General features: G+C 37.7%; 1 protein-coding gene across 4 annotated transcripts in view; it reads left to right on the top strand.

Annotated features, from left to right (window-relative positions):
- FAM133B (family with sequence similarity 133 member B) overlaps positions 1-13,039 on the top strand; it is a 29,633-nt gene extending 16,594 nt beyond the window's left edge. For all 4 annotated transcript variants that reach the window (NR_109929.2, NM_152789.4, NM_001040057.3 and 1 more), the window contains 3 exons: positions 3,882-3,974; positions 7,736-7,783; positions 11,429-13,039. Coding sequence is in view for 3 of the 4 variants with exons in the window: in NM_152789.4 (NP_690002.2) it covers positions 3,882-3,974; positions 7,736-7,783; positions 11,429-11,515 (228 nt within the window). In the remaining variant the exon portion in view is untranslated. The remainder of the gene's footprint in view (positions 1-3,881; positions 3,975-7,735; positions 7,784-11,428) is intronic.
- The last annotated feature ends 4,521 nt before the right edge of the window (positions 13,040-17,560 follow it).

The following is a 17,560-nucleotide window of genomic DNA, read 5'->3' as shown; positions in this document are numbered from 1 at the left end:
ATATTAACTGATCAAGGAAAGAAACCATATGATTATTTCAGTAGTTGTCAGAAGGATGTGATATAATTCAGCATTAATTCCTGATTTTCAGAACGATTATAAAATAAGTGGTTACCCTCATATTTAAAAAAAAAAAGTATGTGTGAAATTAAATCTGGTAACATAGAAACATGAAATATTAAAACTGAACTGCAATTTTTAAGTACTTAAAATATTAGATACAGAGTAATATACACACATGTAATCAACAAATATTAATATATTTACCAGTTAGAATTAATAAATGATTTACATTGGCTTCAAGTCTTGTTTTATGTATTAAAAAAAAAAAAGAAGAAAAAAGACTGGGCACAATGGCTTATGCTTATAATCCGAACACTTTGGGAGGCTGAGGCAGGAGGATCACTTAAGGCCAGGAGTTCGAGACCAGCCTGGGCAACATAGTGAGAGGCCATCTCTACACAAAGAAAACAAATTAGCCAGGTGTGGTAGTCCTAGTTTCTCCCGAGACTGAAGTGGGAGGATCACTTAAGCCCAGAAATTGGAGGTTACAGTGAGTTATGATCATGCCAGTGCACTCCAGCTTGGATGACAGAGTAAGACCCCCATCTCTAAAAAAAAAAAAAAAAAAAAGTCCCCAAACTATCATTTTTTCCTTTGATATAGCTGATCCTGAAACTAGTGTATGTCTTTCCTATCCACATTTATATACTTTTATTATATTAGTATGTGTTCATAAATAACAGAATATTGAGTTTCTTTTTTTTTTAATTAGTTATACCTACTGGAATGGGAAGAATACTGTGTATTATCAAAATGGTAACATTGTGTTTCCTTCTGAAACTTGTTTCTTTTCATTCAGCATTACTGTTGACATCTATCCTTACTGATACTTTCAAGTTTGTTTCTTTTGCTTATGGTATTCTACTAATTAATCCACCACAATTATTTCTCCGTTCTCCTTTTTATGAACATCTAGATTGTTTTAATTTTTCAGTAATACAAATAGTGCTGCTGTGGATATTTCTTACCCATTTCTTCTTTTCCACAGTTACTGTTTTTTGTTTTTTTGTTTTCCGAGATGGAGTTTCGCTCTGTTGCCCAGGCTGGAGTGCAGTGGTGCAATCTTGGCTCACTGCAACCTCCACTTCCCGGGTTCAAGCAATTCTCCTGCCTCAGCCTCCTGAATAGCTGGGATTACAGGCATGCGCCACCACGCCCAGCTACTTTTTTGTATTTTCAGTAGAGACAGGGTTTCACCATGTTGGTCAGGCTGTTCTGGAACTCTTGACCACGTGATCCGCCCACCTCAGCCTCCCAAAGTGCTGGGATTACAGGTGTGAGCCACCGCGCCCAGCCAGTTTACTGTTAATTTTCTAAAGGATACTTTGGACTGTAATTTCTAAGTTCTAGGATGTGCATACACATTCAACTTACGAACATTTTGCTTGCCCAAGTGCTTGTTATTTTGCATTCTTGCTAGTGTATAAAAATACCCTTGTTTCACATACTTGTCAACCCAGGGAGATGTCATTATTGCAAATTTAATGTATACAAATGGTTGAGCTTCTTAACCTGCTTATTAGCCATTCATATTTCATTTTCTTTGCATTGCTTTTCATAGTCTTTGCCCATTTTTCTGTTGGAAAGAAACAACATTTTCTGGTCCATGGCGTCTCTTTACTTTGTTTTTGTGTCTATTATAATTATATAAAGGCTTTAATTTTAAGTCACATAATCATTGTTTTTAGCCCCTTTATTATTTAAAATTATTCTGAAAGTGCTGATAATAAAATACTCAATTAGAAAATACAGTGGTAGAAAATATCCTCTTTATAGTAGTAACCAAAAAATCTGCAAGAAAATTTTAAAGAAGTAAACAGTACTTATTTGAAGAAAACTATACAAGTCTATTCAGAGACATATATGAAGATTGAATAAATGGAGAGTCATAACGTGTTCCTGGGTATAACTTGCCGTACTGGATATTAAAACATTATAAGAATGTTTTAATTAACACAGTGCAGTACTAGTACAGGAATAGACAAAACAATGGAACAGTGTAGAGTCCAGGTGAAAATTCGAGAATCTGTGGAATGTAATAATATGATAAAGATGGCATTTCTTGGAACAAAATGACTAATCATTTGGAAAATATAAAGCTGGCCACTACATAAAGCCAAATACATCCCAGACAGCTCAGAGATTTCAATGTATGAAAATGCAACTAGAGAAAGGGTGACTATTACAGTACTGGGGTGGGGAAGGCTTATGCCTCAAAACTCAAACTTTTGACCATATATTTCAAATTCTGAATGGCAAAAACTGATTACAAAAATTAAACTGTGAACAAAGTTTAACTACAATGAACAGACTAAGAAAAACTTCTAAGAATGTATAACACAAAAAACTAATGATCTTTAATAAGGAAAAAAGAATACCACACATACACAGACAAATTGGCAAATATACGTTTAGGCAATTCTAAAAGAAAACACAAACTGTATTCTCTGATACGATTGATAAAGAGCCTGAGAGGGAGGCTTCTTGGTAAAGTGTGATTCATAAATGGATGACAGACAGTTTTGGACATGGTGGGAGAAAAAGATGATCATTTGTGTGAAGGCTACGTTGGTCTTTGATTTAGTCATCGTTATTAAAGAGTTTGCACTCACATACACTTCATTCTATTTCAACTTTGTTTTTAATAGCAAAGAACCCATATTTCTTTCCTCCAGAAGGAGATGGGTTAAGTAAATTCTGGCATTTTAGTGAATGTTAAATGCAGCCATAAATGATGTAGTTGGCATGGAAAGATACTATTGGGTGAGAAGAGCAGGTTCCAGACAGCAGGTATTTATGTAATATTGTAAACATACACTTAGAAAGATGTTTCCAAAAATCTTAATGGTGTTTAATTTCTGATAGTGGGATTTGAGTCCATTTTCTTACAGTTAACATTTAACATTTTGGCCAAAATAACAATGCTGTTTGCAGAAACAAAAGGAAGTCTGCTATAATCTAGCCCATAGAGAGATCATCACTGTTAGTTTATTTTCTGCATTTTTGTTTGTCTTCAAAATTAGACTCACGCTATATAAAAAGTTGTACATTCTGAATTTTTTATGTAAGATTAGGTGGTGAACATTTTTTCCATTGGGTAGTTTTGTTTTTGTTATGAACTACTTCAGATATACAGAACAGTTCCATGAAAAATAATAAAATGATAACCAGCATATCCACTATGCAGCTCGAATAAATCTTAACATTTTGTTACACTTGCTTTGGGTGTTGTCATAATTTTTTTTTATTTCTTCAAATATATATTTAAGCCCCTAAGTACTACTCCCAATCTCAGTCCCCTCTCCTTCTCCAGAGTTACTCACTTTTTCAACATTAAAAATACTTAGAGGTTAAGATTTTTTTAAACACATATTTACATTTAACACTTTGCGCTAAAGGAATTACTACATAGAGATTCTTTTAGATCACTGCAAATAATCACCCATTTATTTTCTTTTCTGCAGTACTAGGCCTGTCTAATCCAATCCTGGGTAGAAACAAAAGAATTAGAATACAAAGGAACCAAATCTTACATTATCTGCATATTTCATATGACTGTATAAAGTCTATTCTGTATAATTTAAGAAAATAAGATGGATATTACATCTAAATGGATATGTAGTTATTTCTTTTCAATATATTTAATATTGCTTTAGTGGAATTAAAGACTTAAATCCTGGTAAATGTTACACTTTTTAGACATTCTAAAATAAAAATGGGTAATTATAATAATTAGAAGAATTAAATAGAACTTAGAAACATAAAATGTGTGTGACAAAGTATGTCTGAGTCAAGATAAATGTATTTATTTTTCATAGGATATTAAAGGACTCAGCAAAAAGAGAAAGATGTATTCTGAAGATAAACCTTTATCATCTGAGTCCTTGTCAGAATCAGAGTATATTGAGGAGGTAAGTATATGATCAAATCCATTTTCTCTATTTTAAAATGCTTAGTTATTGATTTAATAAATATGACTTAGAAAAAGAAATACTTCATATTTAATTTATTCACCTTTCTAGTATGAAAAAACAAAATGAAAGTTATTTCATTTCAGAATGAGTTTTGCTTTTTTCCAGAAGATAATTATCTATTATTTTTTATAATTAACTGTATTTCCACATACCTTTCTAATCTGAGATATTTTTAGTCTTCTAATATTTCCTTTTTATTGTGCTACCATTCTTGTTACATGAAAGAAGCTGTGTAACATACAGCATGTTGAAACCAAACATTCTCTTACATTGTTAAAATAGAACATTGCATATACTATCTCAGTTTAGTTGATATTTAGCTGTGTTTTGAGCTACTTTTCGGGGAGTAGAAAGGTGATGAAGTGGAGAAGAAATGTTGGCAGGAAACATATCATATTACTTCGTTGTGAGAACTAAATGAGATGATAAATTACGAAAGGCATTGCATCATACCTGAGACAGAGTAAATGGTGGCTAAAGTTTGCATAATTCTTGGTGTTACAGTAAAATCTAAGCCAAGTTTGCCCTAGAATCATTTATTTTTAAAACTGTAGCTTTCTTTAGCGATCAACATACTTAACCCCCAATAGTGTAATCTAAAAGAGTTGAGGATCTTACCCTTGCTTACAAGGGGTGGTAGCAGATTGCAACAAGAGCTGGTTTTCATGATTCTTTAATCGTTTCCGTATTAGCCTCCTCCTGTATCAGTCCTGCCCAGCTCTATCTCTGTCTACTATATTCCTCATCTCCCCATTCCCTGAGTCTTGCATTTTTGTTTGTTTGTGCCTCTCTCCTTTCTGATTTCATCGTTCTTGGTCTGCAACAGTGGCACTTGGTCCTTTAAGACCTATTGCCCCCATTTTATAGCAATGTCTTGTAATTGCTCCTGAAATGAAAGCTAATGCTGAGGCAAGAAGGTTGCTTGAGCCCTGGAGTTTGAGGCTGCAGTGCACTCTGATCCCACCTGTGAATAGCCACTGCACTCTAGCCCAGGTGACATAGCAAGACCCCATCTCTAAAAAAATAATAATGATAATGTGCAATTTTATGAAATTGTATTTCAGTGTAAATGCCTGAATGTGATTAACACCAGGCCAGGCGCAGTGGCTCGTGCTTATAATCCCAGCACTTTGGGAGGCTGAGGCGGGTGGATCACCTGAGATCAGGAGTTCCAGACCAGCCTGGCCAACATGGTGAAACTCCATCTCTGCTAAAAAAAAAAAAAAAAAAAAAAATTAGCCAGGCGTGGTGGCAGGTGCCTGTAATCCCAGCTACTCGGGAGGCTGAGGCAGGAGAATCACTTGAACCCGGGAGGCGGAGGTTGCAGTGAGCCAAGATTGTGCCATCACACTCCAGCCTGGGCAACAAGAGTGAAACTCCATCTCAATCAATCAGTCAATGCTGTAACACCAGAAGACATAGAATCTTAAGAAAAAACAAAATGCAGGCTGTAGCAGGTGTATATTACATACGCCCTTCAAAAACCATACAGTGGCATTACAGTATATCTTAAAATCCTGCACAAGAGGCTTGGTGCAGTGGCTCAGCCTCTTGTGGCACCTGTAATCTCAGCAATTTGGGAGGCTATGGCAGGAGAATCAGTTCAGACCAGGAGTTACGACCAGCTTGGGCAACATAGCGAAACCCTATCTCTTTAAAAAAATAAAAAAATTTTATTTTTTAAAATTTAGTTTCTGGGCCAGGTGTGGTGGTTCACGCCTGTATCCCAGCACTTTGGGAGGCCAAGGCAGATGGATCACCTGAGGTCGGGAGTTAAAGACCAGCCTGGCCAGCATGGCAAAACCCTGTCTCTACTAAAAATACAAAAATTAGCCAGACATGGTGGCACAGACCCGCAATCCCAGCTACTCAGGAGGCTGAGGCAGGAGAATCGCTTGAACCGGAAAGGCAGAGGCTGCAGTGAGCCGAGATCACACCACTGCACTCCATCCTGGGCAACAGAGCGAGACTTTGTCAAAAAAAAAAAAATTTTAGTTTCTGTATTGTAAACAGATTCATCACATGAATGTTTAGCAGGCTATTCAAAAGTCGTGGAGGATGTACAGGGCTGTTCAGGACATGGCGTGACAGCATCCCTCATCTCTGCCTGGCTAAATATAGATGTAGTACATCTGCTGTCACCCTTAGTCATTGTAATAACAAGAATAACAATAAAAATATTGTTTCCTAGGTGCTCGGTAAAGAGAGCTAGTGAGTTAGTGATCTCTGTTGTGAGCTTGTGATCTCTAGTGCTTAATGTGTTATATTTTTTTTAGTCCTCATGCTTCCTTTTATTGTTAATTGCATTTTTATGTATTTGTCATGTATTTAATGTCGTAGTCACTTAGCAGCAAAACCACGCAATTCAACATTAGGCAAATTTATAAATATTGTTTTGTATGTAATGTATTAGTGTTGTATTATGTTTGTCTGCTACATGGTAGCAAGTTTAATATGAAATATCTCACATTTGGACTTAACATGTAATACGAAAGTTTATGAAAGCTTTGACAACTTTCAGCTTATTTATTCTTATTTTTTTAGAGGCAGGTTCTTGCTCTATCGCCCAGGCTGGAGGGCAATGGTGCAGTCATAGATCACTGCAGCCTGGAACTCCTGGGCTCAAGTGATTTTCCACTTCACCCTTCCAAGTAGCTAGGACTACAGTCACATGCCACCACACCCCACTAATTTTTAACAAAAATTTTTTTGTAGAGGTGAAGTCTTAACTAGGTTACCCAGGCTGGTCTTGAACTCCTGGCCTCAAGCAATTCTCCCACCTTGGCCTATCAAAGCGCTGGGATCACAGGCACCAGCCGCTGCCCCCGGCCTCAGTTTAATTTAAATCCAGTGTACCACACTCAAAAAGATTGAAATAAAATATAAATGGGATGATAATTCTTACTTAGAATTTTAACCTATTGGCTTTATACTAACTACACTGAATATAGAGCTACCATTTGTTGAGCACCATAGAGTGAGAGAAATACCTGCTGTATTTTAGGCACTTCCCCTTGAGGGTGGATATTATCTACATTTTACAGATGTTGAGAGTAAGATAGGATTCAGACCTTGGAATCTATCTCATTTCAGAGCTGATGTTTTGTTTGCCTGTTTTGAGACAAGGTGTCAGTCTGTCGCCCAGGCTGGAGTGCAGTGGTGCAAACAGGGCTCACTGCAGCCTCAACCTCCTGGGCTCAAGTGATCCTCCCATCTCAACCTTCCAGTTAGCTGGGACTACAGGCACATGCCACTGTGCCCAGCTATTTTTTCTTTTTCTTTTTTTTTTTTCTTGGTAGAGATGGGGGAGCTCTCACTATGTTGCTCAGGCTGGCCTTGAACTCCTGGGCTCAAGCAAGCCTCCTGCCTTGGCCTCCCAAAATGCTGAGATTACAGGCAAGAGCAACCACACTCGGCCTAAAGCTGATGTTTTTTTCCACTGTACCACATTTTTTTAGGTGCTGAAAGGGAATATAAGAGAAGCTGTCTAGAGATTTTACGTCTTAATTGTCCTTCCTTTATGTTTTTTATTGAAACCTCATTGAGATATAACAGGAGTTATTTTAAATGTCCTGTGATTGTCAAAATGTTTTTTACATTTAAATTTTGAAGATGCAAGATAGAGAATGAAAGAAAAATGCCTTGAGTACAAATTACATGTTTGTCTTCTGTTCTCCACAAAAATTTAAACTTTCTAGGTGCGAGCAAAAAAGAAGAAAAGCAGTGAAGAACGAGAAAAAGCAACAGCAAGTATCTCTTAACGTTTTTACAGACAATAGAATAGGTGTTTTGGTTTAATATAAAATGAGTCATGGTAAAGCTTGATTGGATTTACTGGGACCAAATAAGTATTTGTTGGGAAAGGTGTGGTGTGTTCAGCAGCTTCACTTAATGGGTAGGAGAAAGTCAAAATGGTTCAGGAAAAATAAAAAATACCCTGGTAGCAAGCATGTCCTGTTTCCATTTCAGTATTTTACTGTTAGAAATATAAGCTCAGGGCTGGGCGCTGTGTCTCACGCCTGTAATCCCAGCACTTTGAGAGGCTGAGGCAGGTGGATCATGAGGTCAGGAGCTCGAGACCATCCTGGCTAACACGGTGAAACCCCGTCTCTACTAAAAATACAAAAAATTAGCCGGGCATGGTGGCGGGCACCTATAGTCCCAGCTACTCGGGAGGCTGAGGCAGGAGAATGGCGTGAACCCGGGAGGCAGAGCTTGCAGTGAGCTGAGATCACGCCACTGCACTCCAGCCTGGGCGACAGAGTGCGACTCCGTCTCAAAAAACATATATATATATATAAGCTCAGGTGGGGCACAGTGGCTCACGCCTGTAATCCCAGCACTTTGGGAGGCCGAGACGGGTGGATTGCAAGGTCAGGAGTTCAAGACCAGCCTGTCCAACATGGTGAAACCCCGTCTCTACTAAAAAAAAAAATACAAAAATTAGCCGGGCGTGGTGGCGGGCGCCTGTAATCCAGCTATTCGGGAGGCTGAGGCAGGAGAATTGCTTGAACCTGGGCAGCAGAGGTTGCAGTGAGCTGAGATCGCCCCACTGCACTCCAGCCTCAGCAACAGAGCAAGACTCCGTCTTAAAAAAAAAAAAAAAAAAAGAAATATAAGCTCAAATTTCTGTTTGACTTCCTTAAGCTACAATATGAAATACGAGAGACCAAAGTATGGTGATTTCTGTTATCTTTGATAATAGTTACTTCCAAATCAGCCAAATCTGGTAATAACAGAAAAAGCCTCTCCAAGCACTAGCTGCAATGAAAAAATAATAATATGACAACATAAATGACTCATTAATAAAGATTCTTTTGATAGCTTTTAAAGCCAAACTCTGCTATTAATGCAAATTGAGAAGAAAAGAGAAAGAAGAGGCGAATTAAGGAAAATAGAAGTAGTATCCAAACAAGAAACAGATCAACCAAGAGAAAATGGTTAACAGAGATTATTTTCAAAGAGTAATGCCAACAATATCAGCAAAGTAATTTAGGGGCCCTCAGTATAAATGTGAGCTATGACCTTTGAAGGCATTTTCTTAGGGAAAGGTGAAAGAAAAATGAAAACATCATCATTTGTAGGTTTCAGTAACCCCTTCCCAGAATTTTCCTGACTCTTAAAACGAGGTACCTTCTCTGATAGGAAGGCTCCCCTAGTAATGATTCAGAAATAACATTTTATGTGCTCCAAGCCTACGATGACGAATAAGTTTTTGTTTGTTTGTTTGTTTGTTCTGAATGTGAAAGTAGTTTGGGTGAAGATAGCTTTGGTCTGTGGTTCGGATTAATTAATTAAGACATAACCAAATAAGTATTTGCATACTTTCACTGTTTCATGCTTTCAGCTAGTGTGTATGTATGAAGCAACTCTATGCAGGCACTTTTCTAAGTCTTAAGAGTACAAAAGAGTATGAGATAGAAGAATATGATACGTGAGAGAGATACTGTGGGGACGGGCTCATGAAATCCTCGCTGAGGAAGTGAAATTAAGCTGAAATCTGATTTACAAGAAAGAGCCAACCATGTGAATATCAAAGGAAAGAATATCCTAGGCAGAGGGAAGAGCTCTTAGAGACCTATAGTGAGAATAAGCTTGATATATTTGAGGGACTAAGAGAAGGTAAGTGGCTTAATGCCTGGTGGGGAAAGAGGAATGCCATACAATGAGGGTAGGAAGTAAGCAGAGGCTTACTTACATTACACAGCAGAGTGTGTTTTCATCAGAATGTTATAAGAAGCTGTTCTGAGGGTTTTAAACAAAGAGGTGACCTAAATATTTTACATTTTGTAAATCCTTTGGTACAGGAGATAAGTGGGCACAAGTGAGGAATGATGTTTGTACAGCAGTGATAGTAATGGAGTTGGACTGGCAAGGATGGATTTGAGATACATTTTGAACTTAGATGGTAAGACTTGCTTGGTACTTTGAATGCGGACATTGGAGTTAAAGAGCAGAATCAGAGATAGCTTAGATTCTTTGACCTAAGCAAAATGACAGATAAGTAGTGCCAGTTACTAAGATGGCTGAGGATTTGGAGAGAAAAATGAAGCATTTTGTTGTGCTAATTTCAGATATGCCTACGAGACATCCCAGGTAGAGCTGTTAATGAGGCACTTATCGTCCTGAGGTCAAAGAGTAGGACTGAATATAAAGATTTGGGCATCATTGGTTTTAAGTGGAATGTAAAGCATGTGACTGGGAGAGTATGTGGTAAACAATGGAAGGAAGCCCCAGAAAAGCCAGCCAGAGGAAGAAGAGCCAGCAAAGGAAATGAAGAGGTCTTTGTGATAGAAGAAAACCAGCAGAGAGGTGTCATGGAAGCTAAGAAGAAAATGATTTTTAGAAGAGAGTGCTCAGCTGTCCTTTTATGAAAAAGCAACCTATACCCAAAACTTAGTTTTAAAAGCCCAAATTACAAGATTTTGGACTCTGTAATATTCCCTATGTACTTCAAACATGTAGTGAGAAAAGAATGTTGAAAATTAGCTTAGTGCCACAGAGTGGTAGAGGCCTTTGAGAGAGGGGAGAGTAGATAGTGCTGATAGATAGGAAATGGATAGGAAGCTCTGCTGTTACCATCCTTATAGGTCTCTTCTTTTTTGCTTTTCATTTTCTTCTCTTGAATATCAGTACACTAGCAGCAGTCTCTCATTTGGTACCACCTTTCCAAGTATCTGTGTTTCTAAAAGTTCTGCGTTCTATAACAAAAATAGGAGAGTCAGACTTCAGCAAAACTCCAGCTCCCTTCAATCCACTCACAGTTTAACTACTTCTACCGGGCATTAGTGGCATTTTCTTCTAAAAATCAGACATCTGTTTTGCTTAACAAAGTAGACTTTTTAACTATACATTGATACTTTGTACTAATTAGTTGATTTTAATTTAATAATTTAATAATTAATGACAGCAACTTCAAGTAGTGCTGCCAGTCTGAGCAGTACACAATGCCTGTGTACCTATTTACTTAAAACTGGCAAATTTAATATCTCTGTTCTGTCTGAAAACTATTTTACAAAAACAATTATGTTTTTATTTGGTTACTCCATTCCAGTAACTGCAATTACTTTACCTTTAGAAGTTATATAGCATGAAATAATAGTGATTGGTAGCATGATTCAATTGAATTTATTTCCTACAGGAAATTTTGTTAGAAGTTATGTTAATATGCTAATGACTTAAGAGTTTCTCCCTATCTTTTTGAAAATCGACAAGAACTGTTTTAGTCCTCATATGATACTGGTTGTTGAGACTTTTTGAGGAATGTTTTGAGTAGTTTTCTTGGTTGTGTGGATTGTTTGGAATTATGTGGTAGCTTAGAAGCATGGTAAAGATGCTTTTAATTTGCGTATTTTTATATAGTAATGTCTAACATGGAATTATCTTTACAGGAAAAAACAAAAAAGAAAAAGAAGCATAAGAAACACAGTAAGAAGAAGAAAAAGAAGGCTGCTAGTTCAAGTCCTGACTCACCATAACATTAAGAAAAATCAGGATTCCCTTATAAAGAAAGTGCAATGTCTGAGGAAATTTCAACTGTGAAAACTACAACATATTTACTAAAATGCATGAATTTTCTTGTTTTTGGAATTATTCCTGGACTATTCAGTAGCCACTCAGATGCCACTGTGTGAAAGGGCCATAAATGTTGCCTGCTGCTTGAACATCTATTTTTTTCTCTTCCAGTGCTTGATAACTCTGGGAGATAATACACTGCAGTCGTACTAGTGGTTAAGATATTTGGGAATAAAATTAATACTTTTGACTAGAAGCGTCTAAGGATAAACCAACAGAAATTGAATCTGGATACATCTTTAAGATGTAATCAGAAATGACCAGATGACTCTAGTTAGAATTTTTGAAGGAGGGATTACATTAATATTTCAAAACCCTTACTCTGTAGATAAGTGTATTTTAATTTTTTCCCCTCGTATACTTTTATTTACCTGGGGAAGGAGCTTTTAGGGTTGGGGGGTGGTTTGCTATCTCTTTAGCTAGCAGAATAGTGTGCCTTTGATCCTCACACATCCTGTATTATGGACACAGTAGCCATGCTTCACGGGGAGGTCAGAGCTGGCTACCAGCAGTCTTGCCCTTTACTGAGCTTAGTGTCATCTTTGGATGCTGTCATATGCTGCTTTGAGTGAACCAGAGAAACAGCCATTTGCAGCATGAGAAAGCCCCAAAAGCTCTGGGATTTACCTCCACTTTAGTAATAATGAATATTTTTTAGCATTAGAATGTGTTATGTCATTTGAATTAATTTTGACTACACTTTGGCTTGGGAGAGGAATTATTTTAAATAGACATTGGTACTTTTTGAACTTGATAGCTAAAGATTCTAAAATGCATGTTTTATACTAAGTTTTAACCAGTCAGGAAAATTTTATGTAACTAGTGATAGTTTATTTTTTTGTATGAATTTTGTTTAGGCTGCAATGTTTAGCTTTTGTTAACTCCTCACTCTTGCTGTCTTAAGTTCATTACTATGTTTAATGGCCTACTTGCCAAGATATTTAGCATGTAAAAAGCAGGGTTTTGATTAAAAAAAAAAAACGGCTTCATATTGAAGCTGAGACTTACAATAACAAGTTGAGTGGCAAGCCTGGTATGCTGTGTCTTATTGCCAGAATCTTAGTAAATGTAATGTTTTAAAAGTTTGTTGTCTTTGTATATTAATAACAAATTATGACAAGTTAAGTTTAAATAAGAGTTACATTATTGCTCTCCCTGTGTCATATTTTACTAAGATTTTGTGCCTCATGTCTACTGCTGAATTGTTTACTAGGAATGTTAAAAGGAATTGATAATTCATTTTCATTTTACATTTTTATATAATCAGGTAACATGACATACAACTTGATGTACAATTTTGCCTGTTACAAAGGGTGTGCTAATTATAGTGGTATATGCACAGAACATGTTGGCATGACAACAGGCTGAATAAATAGCTATTTTACTTAAAAATAGCTGTGTTCTTATCAGCTCCCTTTGGACTGCAAGTAAACTTACAAAGATAAACACTCCTAGATGTTAAGCTGGAAATAGATAAGACATGTCCCTAAATTTTTAGCTATTAAAAAAACACATATCTTGGTTTCTTATACTCAAAGCTGCATGCTATTTCCTAATAAAAGATATCTGTATGCTTTTGAATACACAGAAAATTCAAGGGACATTTTGCATCCAAAAGGAAGTTTCCTAGAATTGTTGTTCATGAAAATGCCAGAAGATAAGTTGATCAGATTACATGGTCATCACTTTTGTTACGACATGGAAGTGCAGGTTTACAGACTAGTCCAATAGGTATATAAAGATTGTATTCCACTAGAAGCAACTGTTCATTTTATTAGACGGGGAAGAAGGTGATTTGGTGAAAAACTATATTCTTTCCAGAATGTGTTAACTGTCTGGGCAACACTTTTTTCTAGTCCTCTGTTGGTAGCCTTAACAGCCTCCTAACAAAGTATGGAAAGAAAAGAAAATTTGACAGAATAATTTTTTAATTTTTTTATTTTTTTTTATTTTTGGCGACAGAGTCTCACTCTGTTTCCTGGGCTGGAGTGCAGTGGTGTGATTTCAGCTCACTGTAGCCTCGACCTCCCAGGCTCAAGTGATCCTCCCACCTCCATCTCCCGAGTAGCTGGGACTTCAGGCGCACACCACCATGCCTGGCTGATTTTTTTTATTTTTTATAGAGATGGGATTTCACCATGTTGCCCAGGCTGATCCCAAACTCCTGGGCTCAAGTGATCCACCCACCTCTGCCTCCCAAAGTACTAGGGTTACAGGTATGAGCCACTGCGCCTAGCTGACAGAGTCATATTATCAGTTATGTTTATTCCAAAGTTATTACCCTGTGCAAGTTACTAACATCTCTTCCTCCCTTCCAAACTACCCTTTTTCTTGACAAACTTTACACCAATTTTTTACAAATACAAGGCATGTTACTAGGATAACGGTACTGGAATAACTGCCATAAATCTGTGGATGTTCCAGATAGAAAAATTGGCTTTATACTCATGCTACCTCTTTGTAATTGTTTGGATTCCTTTGGCTGCCCTTAGTATATTTAGTTGTTTTAAATACCATTAGAGTGTCCTGAATTTATTTTAACTAGAATACAGATTTACATTCCTTCAATCAAGTTGTATTAAAAACCTATTGCTTAATTTTCTGACATTTCATGGAGACCCATAGACAAGGCTCACAGAAACCAAGTGAGAACAGCTATTCTTCAAATTTAAGTGACAGGGTTCATAGTTTTTTAAAAATTGCTACTTTTTAACTTAAAGTCTATGAATACTCATTTATTTATTTGCTTAAGAAAAGTTTTGAGAAACCTTTTTTCCCCCCAACTGTATTTAATGATAGATCACTGCATCCTTGACTTCCCAGGCTCAAGCCAGCCTCCCACTTCAGCCTTCCCAGTAGCTGGAACCTGTGACAGGCATGCACCGCCACACCCAGCTAATTTTTTTTTTTTTTTTTTTTTTTTTTTTTTTTTTTTTGTAGAGACAGGATCTCCCTATGTTACCCAGGCTGGTCTCAAACTCCTGGGCTCAAGCAGTCCTCCCACCTCAGTTTCCCAAACTGCTGAGATTACAGGCATAAGCCACCACGCCCAGCCTTTGCTGTATTTTAAATTTTGGTTTTATGTTTCATTTAAAAGTTAGTAAGAATCTAGTGTCCTAAATTCTAAAAATCACTTTAATACATTTTCTTGCCTTACCACAGTGAAGGCCAGCAGACATAGATGACATGTTTGTTCTCTCTACCAGGATTTTACAATCAACAAGTTAGAACAGTTGACATTTTAGTCAGCTTTGGCATAGTCACACCATGTTATCCTACCAGTCAACCCAATCAAAGTTGGAGGGGTAAAAGTGAGTTTTTAATTTTTCTAGAAGCTCCCAGATTGAAGCTTCTGTTTGGATATCATAAAAGGGTGCTTGGTTAGAGTTTGGAGGAGGTTGTAACCTTTGAAGGAGCTGCTGATAGCCTGGGAAATTACTTCCAGCTTAATAAGGTATTTGTAACTTATTTAGTTATTATGTGTTCAAATATGTTTTCAACTGTTCTGTTGGTGCTGAAGGAGTATAAATGGTATCAAATACCACTTGAAGTGGTGTTTAGCCCCAAAGAAAAGATAAATGTTGGAATTGCTATAAATTTTTAAATCACGTTAGCTGGGTGTGGTGGCTCGTGCCTGCAGTCCCAACTACTTGGGAGGCTGAGATGGAGGGTGGATTGAGCCTGGGAAGCTGAGGCTGCAGTGAGCTATGATTGTACCACTACACTTTAGCCTGGGCAGTGTGACACAGCAAGACCCTGTCTAAAAAATAAAAATAGGCCGGGCACGGTGGCTCAGGCCTGTAATTCCAGTACTTAGGGAGGTGGAGGTGGGTGGATCGCTTGAGCCCAGGAATTCGAGACCAGCCTGGGCAACATGGCAAAATCCCATCTCTACAAAAAATGCAAAAGATAAACCAGGTGTGGTGGTGCATGTCTGTAATCCCAGATACTCACGAGGCTGAGGTGGGAGGATTGCTTGAGCCCCAGGAGGTGGAAGTTGCATTGAGCTGAGATGGCACCACTGCACTGCATCCTAGGCGATGTGGCAGAGCAAGACCCTGTCTCAGAAAATAATGAATTTTTAGATCACAGAAACATTAATGAAATTACCATATTCGGAGTGGTAGCAAACATTTCATACTTTTCCAGTTACTTGAGAACCTTCTGTGTTTGGTTGCTGGGATGTTGCCATGGTCACATGCCATGTTGGGATTGGAGTAACGAACTTTGGAAACAGTGATAGCTCAGGATGTCCAGGCTTGAAGCTAAGCTATCTGGAAATTCTGGAGTTGTTAAAGCCACACGACATGGACCAGAAGGCTCTGAAGAAACTGGTAGAATCCATCAGTGAAACTGTCAAGAACTGTAAGTACTGACCAGACTTCCAGTGCTGCCTGAACATCTTGATTCACAGAAATGTTTAAAAAGCAAAAAGATGAGGATATATTAAAAAGATACAGGAGCCAACCTGAAAACTGCCAATGGCCAAAGCCGGAACAACTTGAGCAACAAAGTAACATAGTATTGAAAGGCGTCTTAGTCTATTTGGGCTTCTGTAACAAAATACCATAGACTGGATGGTTTATAAGCAACAGAAATGTAGTTCTCACAGTTCTGGAGGCTGGGAAGCCCAAGGTCGAGGCCGATTCACTGTCTGGTAAGGAAGGGCCTGCTTTCTGGCTCATGGATGGCACTCCCTTGCTGTGTCCTCACCACAGTGGAAGAGACTAGCTAGCTCTGTGGGGTCTCTTTATAAGAACACTAGGCCTAGCTGCCACTGCCTCCCAAAGGCCACACCTCCTAATACCATTAGCTTGGGGGTTAAAATTTCAACATGAATTTGGTGGAGGCCAGGGAGGGGCCTAAACAGACCATAGCAGTGTATAACCAGTGGTATAAAATAAATACATGTGACTTAATACTGATTAAATAATAGTAATAAATGGAAAAGAAGAATCTTCCTTATGGAAGAATTCTAAATAATAATATAGATACCACTTCCCAGGAAGTGGAGCTTAATTCCCTTCTTGAGTGACTGGCTTCAAAAGAATAGATTGTGGAAAGAGAAAAACAGTAAGTACAGTGGAGAGAGCTGGCAGACTCTAGCTTAACCAAACAATCAAGTTTAACATCCATAGTGATATGTCATGCTGAGATTATGTTTCCCTTTACATGTGATTAGAGCAGCACTTTACGTCTGTGGTTTTATTCCTCAAAACACATAATCACAGTCTAATCTTGAGAAAAACAGGCAAACACCCAGATGTGATGGCATGCACCTGTAGTCCTAACTCCTGGGGAGGCCTTGAGGCAGGAGGATATTTTGAGCCCAGGAGTTGGAGGCTGCAATGAGCTCACACCACTGCTCTCCAGCCTGGGAGACACAGCAAGACTCCATCTCTTAAAAAATAAAAAGAAAAAAATAATTTAAAAAAACAAAATGATGACCATTCCATTCTACAAAATAAATCCAAAACTGTCAGGTTCATGATAGGCAAGGAAAGATTGAAAGCTATCACAGGTTGGAGGAGGCATGACAACCAAATATGGTATCCTGGACTGAATTCTGGGATCAAAAAAAGGATGTTAGTGTAAAAACTGTGGAAATCCAATTAAAGTCTATAGTTTAATGTACTAATGTTAATACATTAGCTTTGACAAATGTACCATGGCTATGTAAGACATTAGCATTAGGGAGAAACTGGGTGAAAAGTATATAGGAACTCTTTGTAATACCGTTGCATCTCTTATGTAAATTTAAAATTATTCCAAACTAAAATGGGTCAATTTCTATTATCTCAACACCATCCTCATTATTGACCCATTGTTTCTCAAATATCATTTACAATGGTTTCTTTTCTCCTTTTCTTTTTGAGACAGAGTCTCACTTTGTCACCCAGGCTGGACTGTAGTAGTGGTACAAACACATCACACTGCAGCCTCGACCT

This window comes from Homo sapiens, chromosome 7 (assembly GCF_000001405.40).
Source record: "Homo sapiens chromosome 7, GRCh38.p14 Primary Assembly".
Classification (NCBI taxonomy): Eukaryota; Metazoa; Chordata; class Mammalia; order Primates; family Hominidae; genus Homo; species Homo sapiens.
This window is presented reverse-complemented; position numbering and strand designations above follow the sequence as displayed.